The 11,935-nt window shown below is 46.5% G+C and overlaps 1 annotated feature.

Annotated features, from left to right (window-relative positions):
* Window positions 10,749–11,492: an enhancer, noted in NCBI's record as "NANOG-H3K27ac hESC enhancer chr2:235471377-235472120 (GRCh37/hg19 assembly coordinates)". NCBI's record gives its function as "activates a minimal SCP1, AML or CMV promoter by ChIP-STARR-seq in naive H9 embryonic stem cells {active_cell/tissue: H9 hESC(naive)}" and the evidence as "EXISTENCE:reporter gene assay evidence [ECO:0000049][PMID:30033119]".

The following is an 11,935-nucleotide window of genomic DNA, read 5'->3' as shown; positions in this document are numbered from 1 at the left end:
CATGCAGGGTCTGGACTCCTTTTCTCAGCTGGGCACCAATGACAATTCAATTTTCAGAGCCTTTGCTGTGCTAATTCAGTCTACTTGGCTCATCTGGTGATGCTGGGGTTCCCATCGCTCCCTGTCGGTGCTGCCTGAGAATGCAAAAGCCATTTCCCCAGGCAGACCTCTAGGTGTCTGATACAGTTTAGCTGTGTCCCACCCAAATCTCATCTTGAATTGTAGCTCCCATAATTCCCACATGTTGTGGGAGGGACCTTGTGGGAGGTAATTGAATCATGGGGGCGTGTCTTTCCCATGCTGTTCTCATGATAGTGAATAAGTCTCCCGAAATCTGATGGTTATATAAAGGGGAGTTCCCCTGTACACACTCTCTCCTTGCCGTCCGCCATGATTGTGAGGCCTTCCCAGCCATGTGGAACTGTGAGTCCATTAAGTTTTCTTTGCAAATCACCCAGTCTCGGGTGTGTCTTCATTAGCAGTGTGGGAAGAGACTAATACAGTGTCCCGCAGCGAGGGAGGCATCTTTTAGACCTGTGGGGATGAAGACATGTCCTGGGCCATTTTATGCAGCTGTTCCCCTTTTTTTTGCCAGTCCCACCCGCTGCTCCTGTGTCTCACCACGAGGAGGGGAAGCTCAGGACCTGAGGGGAAGAACAGAGCTTCCCTAGACACTTATTGTGGGTGGGGCTCCCAAAGGACCCCCTTTCCAATAAGCATCAGGCTGTGATGTCATCAAAAGGACTCCTATCTGATTCCAGGGAGGAGTGAGTCTACCTGTGCTGCCTTCTGCTGCTAGCCAGGGGTGATAAAATGCCAAGTCACCTTCTCTGTTGAGAGTGGGATGTAAAAGGTCCTATTGCTGGGCTGTTCCTCTACTTCTTGGGTCCCAATTCAACTTACCGCCTTCTTACCATCTCTCAGAGTTCTCCATTGGTTGTCCCTTGAGTTATGTTCAGAATTTATAGTTGTGCTTAGCAAGGATGAAAGAAAGGAATTATGTTATGCCATCTTGTTTGGACAGAAGTTCTCAACATGTCTTTTTTTCTCAACTCAGAAAAATAGAGAATATCATCTTAATTGCCTAAGGCAAGTCCATAATTTTCCTATGACTGCAACTTGGTCTCCCACATAAGAGGGGAGGAGGAAAGACCTCTGAAACACTTTTAGTGCAATAAACCTTAGCACAGAAGATTTGTAGAGGAGAGGATAAAGTTTGAACTTGCCAGACCTCCAGAAGAGAGAGAGGTATTGAATGCTGGCTCTGAAAATATTACGAAAACACGTTGCTGATAAGATGGAGCTAAGTTTATTCCTATCAGAGTCAGAGAAAGCACCTGCTAGCAGAGCCTCCTAGCATTTCAGAGTGGTGAGGGCAAAGTAGAATGTTTATGAGAGTGTGGAATATTATTGGCATGTGGTTTAAGGAGCGTCTCTTGCCATGCAGGGGAAATAATTTTGGTTCTCAGTGGGAAAGGGACCGTATATGGAGTTTGGGAACCTCTGGGTTCCTAACCCATCCAGATTCTTTATCTCAGAACAAGCTTGGGGTCTGGGAGGAAGCTGTGCATGTGACCCTAGACAGACTCTGAACAGACATCATTTCTGTGCCCCCACCCAGGGAATGGCCAGAAAGTTTAGAAGGCCCAACTGGCACCGCTTTCTGGGAGAGGATCTTTCCCAGGTCAGTCGTTCATCCACCCTCAGTGCATCCCCTCATGGTTGGTGCGGGAAATGGGGGTATATAAGCTGGGGCTTGGGAGACTCCAGCATCCTGCTGTGAGGAGGCACTAGGCCTGCCAGCACCCCCTCAGCTCATAGCGGAGGAGAGCGGGCACCCCTGGCAACCATGCAACCATCCCCAGCAGCCACGTGGGGCATGTGTCTTTGATGGGAGTATATCACTGAGTATAAACTATATTCCCATTGTTATAATAAGTTCCTGTCATTTGTGGAGCCTGCCAAGCTGTGTTTCCACTTCCTCCAACCCTCGTCTTCAGCTCCACCTTTCTCTCTACCCCTACTCAACTTCCTCAAATCAGTTCCTCTTTAGGGCATGCAGACTAAAACTCAGGTTTACATTTGAGATAACTTTGGGTATGTATAGGGGAGGTTGACAGAGTGCAAAATTAAACACAAGATAACTGGAAAATATTCATACTGAGAAATTCAAAGCTCTTTCAAACTCATCTCCTTGATCCTCACTTTGAAGAAGGAAAGGAAGAGGTGAAGCGACTTTCCTAAAGGCACGGATGAGAGGGACAAAGTTGCTTTTTTCATGGGAGAATTCACTTTCCTTTATACCACTCTGTACACACCACTCCCCCATCCAACAATTACACAGACAGAGAAGAGGAACAAGAAGAGGCCCCAGTGAATGAAAAATAGTTCACTGATGTGTCATGACAAGGAAGGTGCAAAGCTCTAGCCTGGGCTCCTTACACATGTTGCATTCCATGTCATTTACATACACCCTGTGTTATGCTGCCTCTCTGCAGAATTAGAAGCCGTCAACATAGCTACGAACCCAGCAGATTATATTGGTGGCGGCTTTGCATACATTGCTGATGGGGGAGGAGTTCTAGGAAAGCATAAAGCATAGAGGCCTTTGCATAGCTTTTATTTGTAAGGCAAACATTCCTGCAGTACTTGCTATGAAGGCTCTAAATGGACAACATATTAAAGATCATGCATACGTGCTTACAGCAACAGGTTTCTGAGTGTTGGTGAAAATTTTACTATCTCAAGGCTCTTAAAGCTGCATCTCATCAGCCTACCCCTAACCCAGTGCTTGAATATACATCTCTGCCAAGTGGCCATTCAGTCTGTTCTTAAACACCTTCAGTTATAGTCAAATCATTTTCTCCCTAAAGATCTCATGCCTTTCCAGGATGGCCTTTTATTGGAAAGTGCTTCCTTCTCTAGAAGCAAAGCATGACTCCCTGTGTTGTTCCAGGGACAGGCTCACTGCAGCGCTCCTGGAAACTCTAACACAAGTCAAATCCCTTTCCCCTATGGCAGCCCTTCAAATAAATTTTCAAGACTATCATTCTGCAACAGTTTCCCATATAGCACAGACTTGATTTATCCATTCTTCAGAATGTCTTCCTCTGAATGCTCTTTGTCATGTCTGGACGTCTTACAGAGAGTACCGTCCATGGGAGGCAGAACACTACCTGTCCAGGGTAGCCTAGAGCAGGCACCCTCACTCTAGCCATGGGACTCACCTGCTTCTATGAGGTTCCTGTGGTTTTTTCTGGGTTCTCTGTTGGTAAGGACCTTCTTCCTTTCTAGACCCCCTTATCTTCTCCTCTCAAAGCCCTTATTAAAATGCTCTGTACTTGTTTGATTTGCTGTCTCTTTCCTTAGATTGTGAGCCCTTTGAGGAAAAGAACATCAATCTAGCCTATTGGAATGACTCCTCTTGGTTTCAGAGGGAAATGGTGTAAAAGTTTGCATTCAGTCAACGTGTATGTGTAGGCAGTTGCTTGGCAGAATGGTTATTTGAACTATTCGCCAGTGGCTCGAGATTTTATCTCTGGTAAATGAGGGACTTCATCATCAACTGCATGGAATTTTCTCTGGAACAATGAGCTTTCCACCCAAGCGGTCCTGGGCAAATCCCATCACCCTCTCCTTTTTCGTAAGCTTCTGAATTGCTCATTAAAGGGCACTGTCTGGGTTTTAATAGTATTTGGCCCATCACTAGCGCTAACACTAGATATCCATTGGTTTTGTCTGCCCGACATCGCTTCTCCTTTCTTTTGGTAGAGGAAAGTGTCTTCCCGTGGGGAACCCATTTCCTGTGGTTTGGGTGGGCTGGCTGTCATCCCATCCTGTTACAATGGTGGGACAAACCCCAGGCCTGACAATCAGAGCACCCCATTGCTCTGGCTGGAGTGATTGGCTTAGGGACAGGCATCCCACTCATGCTTGACTAGTGACATTCTTCCCCAAGACCTTCCCAGCAGATCTGTAGAGATAAGTGCTTTCTTTCTGCCTCTCAGGGTCAGACCTCTAAACTAATAGGACATGAGTCTGGGGCCTCCGGAAGCCACATGAAGACACTGGCAGAGAAATGGAGAGAGAAACAGAAATGTTATGATTTATTTTTAGGCCATGACCAGACTTTTTGATCACATAAACCGATAAATTGTCTTTTTGTGTCTCAGCTGATTTAAGTTAGTTCCTGTGACCAGAAACTGAGAAAGTTTCTCAATAGTGCAGCAAATGGAACCGTGGAACCACTGAAGAGGAGCAGCAGAAACTTCACAGCTCTTGGGTGGCAGCAGACTCAGATTTACTGAAGCAAGAAAGGGAAGACAGCAGCAGGAGGCTTGACAGCTAGCTAAATAGTTAGCCATGGAAAGAGCAGAAGAAGGAAGCTCAAGAAATCTCAGCAACAAACACTCATGGACTTTTTTCTAAAAATGGAAATTTAAAACTTTCTCGACCATGACCCACAAGAAATACATTTTACACGTTGCATCCAGGACATAGCAATATGCCTGTGAGCCACTTTGTGGTTGAAGGTTTCCATGTTGAGCTAGTTTCAGGAACATTGCCTCCTGTGTTCTCCTTTTGGAGATTCACCCATGGATTTACTGTATCAAAGTCTCTGAGAAATCTTATTCTAGCAATCCTGTTTCATGCACTATTTCTTAAATGTATTTGGTAGCAGTTAACTTGTTATTGCAAAAACAAAAATTATTGACTCCCTATTTTGTGCTAAATACTGGGCTCTGCACTGGTGAAACAGAAGAAAGCCATACACAGCCTGCCCTCACAACGCCTCCAGTCTCAGAGAATACTTAGTAATCCCTCATGATCTACACCTTGGAAAACACTGATTTAGTTTACTCCAATCCCCACTCCTGCATGCAGAATCTGGCCACTCTAGGCTTCGGTCTAGTTCAGCATATACTGCCTCTAGGCACAGATGACTGTGGACAGTTGAACAGGGTATGGGGGGAAGCATCATTGACACGATTGTCTATGTAAATGGCTCCTTTAGGGTTGTGCAGTGCCCAACACGCGCCATTGTCCTCAGTGTCTCTGCTTAGGGCTGATTTCTGGGTTATGCATTACTACTCAAGGCACAGACCCCACGTAACCCCACCTTGGTGGCAAGGTTTCCATCCTGAGTCACTCTTTCTTGTTCCAACTTTTTCCTTTGAATATGTTCAGACCTACAGAGAAGTTTAAAAATAATATAATGGGCTGAGGTAGGCGGATCATGAGGTCAGGAGATCGAGACCAGCCTGGCTAACATGGTGAAACCTCACCTCTACTAAAAATACAAAAAATTAGCCAGGCGTGGTGGCCCGTGCCTGTAGTCCTAGCTACTCAGGAGGCTGAAGCAGGAGAATCGCTTGAACCCGGGAGGCGGAGGTTGCAGTGAGCTGAGATCGCACCACTGCACTCCAGCCGGGGTGACAGAGTGAGACTCTGTTCAAAATAATAATAAGAAGAATAATAAAATGAACATTGCATCTTAGATTCACCAATTGTTAACATTTTGCCACATATGCATTTGACATTTGTGTGCATACACACATATGTGTGCACAGAGACAAAATATATTTATTGATGAATCATTTGAAAGTAAGTTGCAGACATTGTGATCTTTATCCCTAAGTATGCACCAGTCTCCAGTGAATAAGCGCCATCCACATGACCCCAGTACAATGATCCCACGTAAGGAGACTAACAAGAATCCCATGAAATCATCTGAAAGCCACTCCATGTTCAAGTCCCCATTGTCCCAAAAATATTTTACAGTGTTTTTTTAAATCAAGCATTGTATTTGGCTGCTATTCATCTCTATTTTAGAAAATCAAGAATAGCCACCTCATCTTTTGCTTTTCATACTGTTGACCTATTTAGAGGGTCCAGACCAGCTGTCATGAAGACGGCCTTCCTCTAGATTTGTCTGATTGTTTTCTCTTGATCAGATTCAAATACCCTGGCTGGCAACACTCCATTGGTGACACTGCTGTCTTCACAGGGCCCCACCCAGAGGCATGTATGCTGGGTGGCTGCATTCCATCACTCGACGAAGGAGCTGCTACAGAGCGTCTCCATCGGAAGCACATCCTCCCTCTGAAATCAGTGGGTAATGGTGGGATGATACCGTAAGAATGAGGACATTCCCTGTCAAGAGGCTGAATCCCTCATTCTCCTCCTTATATGGGTTTCTCAGGCCTCATTCTTGAACTTTCCCACATTGTCCTCACTTTTCCCTGTCCCAATAAGGGCATCTTATGTCTGGGTGTCATTTTCATCAGAATGCAAAGGTAAACAAGTGAGAAGCGTCTTTGTGTGGCTGGAGCTTAAAGGCTGCAGGTGGACCCCGATATTTGGTGGCCAAGATCACACACTGTGCTGAGGGTCCCGTGGAACCCTCGCCCCAGGATGCACACAGAGAGGCATGTAGCACACACTTGGGAAGCTGAAGAAGGGTTTTTGGAGGAAGTGGTGTCGAAGCTGACATTAGAAGGATGAGCAGCGATCCGGGGGCAATAGGAGAGAGAATGGGGTGGTCAGCATCACATGGGTGGCCCAGATGTGAAGAGAGCACACCCAACCCAAGGGCACAGGAAATCCAGTGTTGCTGGACATCAGGGGAGGAGAGGTGAAGGCCACTGCAAGGATTGGCAGGGGGTTGATAGCAGGGCTGATAGCAAGCGGTCTCATGAGCCACCAGCTGGAGTTTAAATTTGCTCACAAGATCCATGGGAGGAGCATTAAGTTTTATTAAACAGGACTGGTTGGGAGAGGGGCTGATGTGACATGATTGGCCCTTTTAAAGGAGCCCTGTGGCCGTATGGTGGTGGCTGGATTGCTGCAGGGGAACACGAATGGAGGCAGAGCTGCCATTTGGATGGATGTCTGTCACATTGATCCAGGGAAAAGACATTTGCATCCTGAACAATGACCATGCCAATGGGATGGAAAGACTGCATGGAATTCAGTGTGTTTTGGAGGAAGTCTTAATAGTGCTGGGTGCTTGATTGGATGAAGACAAAAACCTCAAGATTGATTATTTCCTTTTCACAATTTTTGTCTTGAATTAGGGTAAACTGTATCCAGGTGGGAAGAAGCACATTTGTCCCAGGGCAAAGGATTTTATGTGAGGTCTTCATAAGAACAGTACACCCTATGTTCGATGTGTTATTTCAGCAAGAACCCAATCTTATTACCAAACTAGGTGAACATCAACATGTTAAGAAACTTGACAGCACAAGAGGAATCTCTGTGCTGATGAAACAACTCTGTATCTTCATTGTGGTGGTGGGTGGGGGTATGAATCTACACATGTGCCCAAACCACACACACACACACACACACACACACACAAATAAGTGCTTGTGGAACTGGTGAATAAGGCCTGTGGATTGCACCAACACCAATTGCCTGATGTTGAAATTGTACTGCAATTCATATCGTGGAAATTGGACTGTAATCATATTGTGTTTGCATAGTACTGTGTCACACTGGGGGAGACAGGTGAAGGTTACATAGTACCTCTCTATACAATCTTTGCAACTTCCTCTGAATATCGAATTATTTTGAAATGAAAAGTTTGAAAAAATAAGAAACTTTGTGTTTAAAAAGAAAACAGACACAGCAAGATGTTGTGAAGTCTGCACCAAGGGTTCATGGGAGATGTTTTCACTCACCTTCAGTGTAGGAAGGAATATTACTGAACTGATGTCAGTCTGGTGCTAGCCATGCTTAAGCACTAAACCATCCAGCTCATCTCAACCTCAGATGTCTGGAATCCTCCACATTTTCACCCAGTGTCAGAGTTATTTAGGTCATTGTTCCCTGGTAACGCGGTTCCCTCCAGCAAGGTCATTGTTCTGTTCCCTGGTTAAGAAGGATCAAAGGGATAGACTGTCAATTTCCTCCGACTTCCCTATTCTCCTGTTTTGACTCCTTTCACTGTGAATAATGGAACAGAAACGGGACGGACATTTTTTAAAAGACGAAAACTACTAGCTAGGTTGCTATGCTGGGTGTTTGTGGAAGGCTGAGGGTACATGTTGTTGTTGATAGTGGTAGTGGTGAAGTTACACAGCAGTGGTCAAGTAAGCTAAGGCTAGGAAAAATAATTTGAACAAAAATAAAACTTTTTGGCTGGGCACAGTGGTTCATGCCTATAATCCCCAGCACTTTGGGAGTCCGAGGTGGGAGGATTGCTTGAGCCCAGGAGTTCAAAGACCAGCTTGGGCAACATCGTGAAACCCGGTCTCTACAAAAAAAATACAAAAAATTAGCCAGGCATGGTGGCAGGTACCTGTAGTCCCAGCTATTCAGGAGGCTCACTTGAGCCTGGGAGGTCGAGGCTGCAGTGAGCCCAGACTGTACCACTGCACTCCAGCCTGTGACAGAGTGAGACCCTGTCTCAAAAAAAAAAAAAAAAAAAAAAAAAAAAAAAAAAAAAAAAAAAAAAAAACACACACACGCACATAGAAAAAAAAAAAAACCCACAACTTTTTGTCACACCTAAAGCATAATGTTGGTAAAGCTATCTGGTTGGTCCACAGTTGATATACACAGAATACTCTTATTTTTTTCACTGGTCCATAGCAGTGGCACTTTTTACAGTACTTCTGCTCAATCAAAGAAGCATTGCAAGGATGGCAGACTCCTGGAGGGACTTGCCTCCCGATGGCAAAATTGGAGTGAGGATAGTTGTTCTTGCCTGGTCTAGGCCCTGGCTTGTACTCTCACTTGGAGCTGCCTGTTAATGAGCCAAGGCCATAGTCCTTCACTGCAGATACAGCAAAAGAGGTCTGCAGGCCCCATCTGTTTAGCCCTGGACTGAGTGGGAAGGTTCAGTTTGGGGTAGAGAAGCATAAAACCACAATTTTACATTGAATCCAAATGTCAGAGATTGACATGCAATAGTAGTCTTTTACTATTAATAGCCTTGTGAGCAAATGTGTAGGTGGGCAAGAGAGAGAAAGAGAGAAAGAAAAAAATAATCACTCTACCAATTCTTACCTTCCTAGATGCCCTTTCTTCAGTTACTAGACTGTTTAAATAAAATTGGGGAAATGAAAAAATCAGAAAACCAGGTTGTTGCTGCTGAAATCATTCCATTTACTTTCAGATTACTAGTTTGCAGAAAAACACTTTTATTCTTTGGTACCAATGTGTTTCATGTGTTTCTATAAATGTGTACAGCAGCAGGAAGCTGAAGGTTAATTTGAATCAGATGTGGCACTCTCTTGAATCTTATAGTTTATTGAAATGTTGTTTAAACTGTAAAGGTTTAGTCCACATTCTCCCCCAAATTATTTCCTTATCCTTCTACCCAAGCTTCTCTTTCTGCGTTTGGAACATCAGCAGAGCCCTCCTGTGGATAATTGAATGACTGTAATTTGCTGTTCTAAACCAGTGTTCCAAGGAAGGTAATTATGTCAGCTTTGTGTTCAGCTAGTTAGTGGATTCTGATCTTGGGAGCTGGAAACTTTAATCGAGTGTTTATTGCCATGTGCAAAATGAATGTGATTATAGACTAGATCTTGGCATTGCCAAAAGGAAAAAAACCACACATCCAATTCAGAGCACTTGAAGAACCAAAGACAACCCAGGGAGCAGCTTTGTTTTGCCATCGAGCGATCCACATGATGAGAAGAGCCCCATTAGGAAAATGCCCCCTCCAATGCCATGTGTCTTCCTGAAGCCAAAATCTAAATGGAAGCAGATTCTTCTGAATGAGACAAAGAACCTAGCTTTTGAAAAAATAAATAAATCCCAGCACTTTGGGAGGCCGAGGCGGGCAGATCACGAGGTCAGGAGTTTGAGACCAGCCTGACCAGCATGGTGAAACCCCGTCTCTACTAAAAATACAAAAATTAGCCAGGTGTGGTGGCTCATGCCTATAATCCCAGCTACTCAGGAGGCTGAGGCAGGAGGATCGCTTGAACCCGGGAGGCGGAGGTTGCAGTGAGCCAAGATCGTGCCATTGGACTCTAGCCAGGGCGACAGAGCAAGACTCCATCTCAAAAAAAAGAGAAAAAGAAAAAGAAAAAATAAACTTTTTTGTTGTGGCCTGGAACAAACATACATAAATGTGAATAATGTCAAGTCCACCACCCAGATCAAAATCAAGAACTTTTAAACTCTCATCTACATTCTCCTCTCGTTTCTCATGTTACTACTGCTTGAGGTCTGCTCATTTCGCCATGTTGAGCAGATAATCAGAATTATAGTACTTGTATGCCTAGAAATATTTCTATATTGCCGTAACTCTTTTTTTTTTTTTTTTCTTGAGACAGAGTCTTGCTCTGTGGCCCAGCCTGGAGCAGTGGTGCGATCTCGGCTCACCGCGACCTCCATCTCCCAGGTTCAAGCGATTCTTGTGCCTCAGCCTCCTCAGTAGCTGGGATTACAGGCACAGGCCACCACGCCTGGCCAATTTTTTTTTTTGTATTTTTAGTACAGATGGTGTTTCGCCATATTGGCCAGGCTGATTTTAAACTCCTGACCTCAGTTGATCCACCCGCCTCGGCCTCCCATAGTGCTGGGATTACAGGTGTGAGCCGCCGCGCTTGGCCACCGTAACTCTTTTTTTTTATTTATTTATTTATTTTTTTTTTTATTGATCATTCTTGGGTGTTTCTCGCAGAAGGGGATTTGGCAGGGTCATAGGACAATAGTGGAGGGAAGGTCAGCAGATAAACAAGTGAACAAAGGTCTCTGGTTTTCCTAGGCAGAGGACCCTGCGGCCTTCCGCAGTGTTTGTGTCCCTGGGTACTTAAGATTAGGGAGTGGTGATGACTCTTAACGAGCATGCTGCCTTCAACCATCTGTTTAACAAAGCACATCTTGCACCGCCCTTAATCCATTTAACCCTGAGTGGACACAGCACATGTTTTCAGGGAGCATAGGGTTGGGGGTAAGGTTATAGATTAACAGCATCTCAAGGCAGAATAATTTCTCTTAGTACAGAGCAAAATGGAGTCTCTTATGTCTACTTCTATCCACACAGACCCGGCAACCATCCGATTTCTCAATTTTTTCCCCACCCTTCCCGCCTTTCTATTCCACAAAACCGCCATTGTCATCATGGCCCATCCCCAATGAGCCGCTGGGCACACCTCCCAGACGGGGTCGTGGCCGGGCAGAGGTGCTCCTCACTTCCCAGTAGGGGCGGCCGGGCAGAGGAGCCCCTCACCTCCCGGACGGGGCGGCTAGCCAGGCGGGGGGCTGACCTCCCCCCCGGCCGGACGGGGTGGCAGCCGGGCGGAGACGCTCCTCACTTCCCAGACGGGGTGGCTGCTGGACGGAGGGGCTCCTCACTTCTCAGACGGGGCGGTTGCCAGGCAGAGGGTTTCCTCACTTCTCAGACGGGGCGGCCGGGCAGAGACGCTCCTCACATCCCAGACAGGGCGGCGGGGCAGAGGTGCTCCCCACCTCTCAGACGATGGGCGGCCGGGCAGAGACGCTCCTCACTTCCTAGATGGGATGGCGGCGGGGAAGAGGCGCTCCTCGCTTCCTAGATGGGATGGCGGCCGGGCAGAGACGCTCCTCACTTTCCAGACTGGGCAGCCAGGCAGAGGGGCTCCTCATATCCCAGACGATGGGCGGCCAGGCAGAGACGCTCCTCACTTCCCAGACGGGGTGGCGGACCGGCAGAGGCTGCAATCTCGGCTCTTTGGGAGGCCAAGGCAGGCGGCTGGGAGGTGGAGGTTGTAGCGAGCCGAGATCACGCCACTGCACTCCAGCCTGGGCGCCATTGAGCACTGAGTGAACGAGACTCCGTCTGCAATCCCGGCACCTCGGGAGGCCGAGGCTGGTGCATCACTCGCGGTTAGGAGCTGGAGACCAGCCCGGCCAACACAGCGAAACCCCGTCTCCACCAAAAAAATACGAAAACCAGTCAGGCGTGGCGGCGCGCGCCTGCAATCGCAGGCACTCG

This window comes from Homo sapiens, chromosome 2, assembly GCF_000001405.40.
Source record: "Homo sapiens chromosome 2, GRCh38.p14 Primary Assembly".
Taxonomy (NCBI): Eukaryota; Metazoa; Chordata; class Mammalia; order Primates; family Hominidae; genus Homo; species Homo sapiens.
This window is presented reverse-complemented; position numbering and strand designations above follow the sequence as displayed.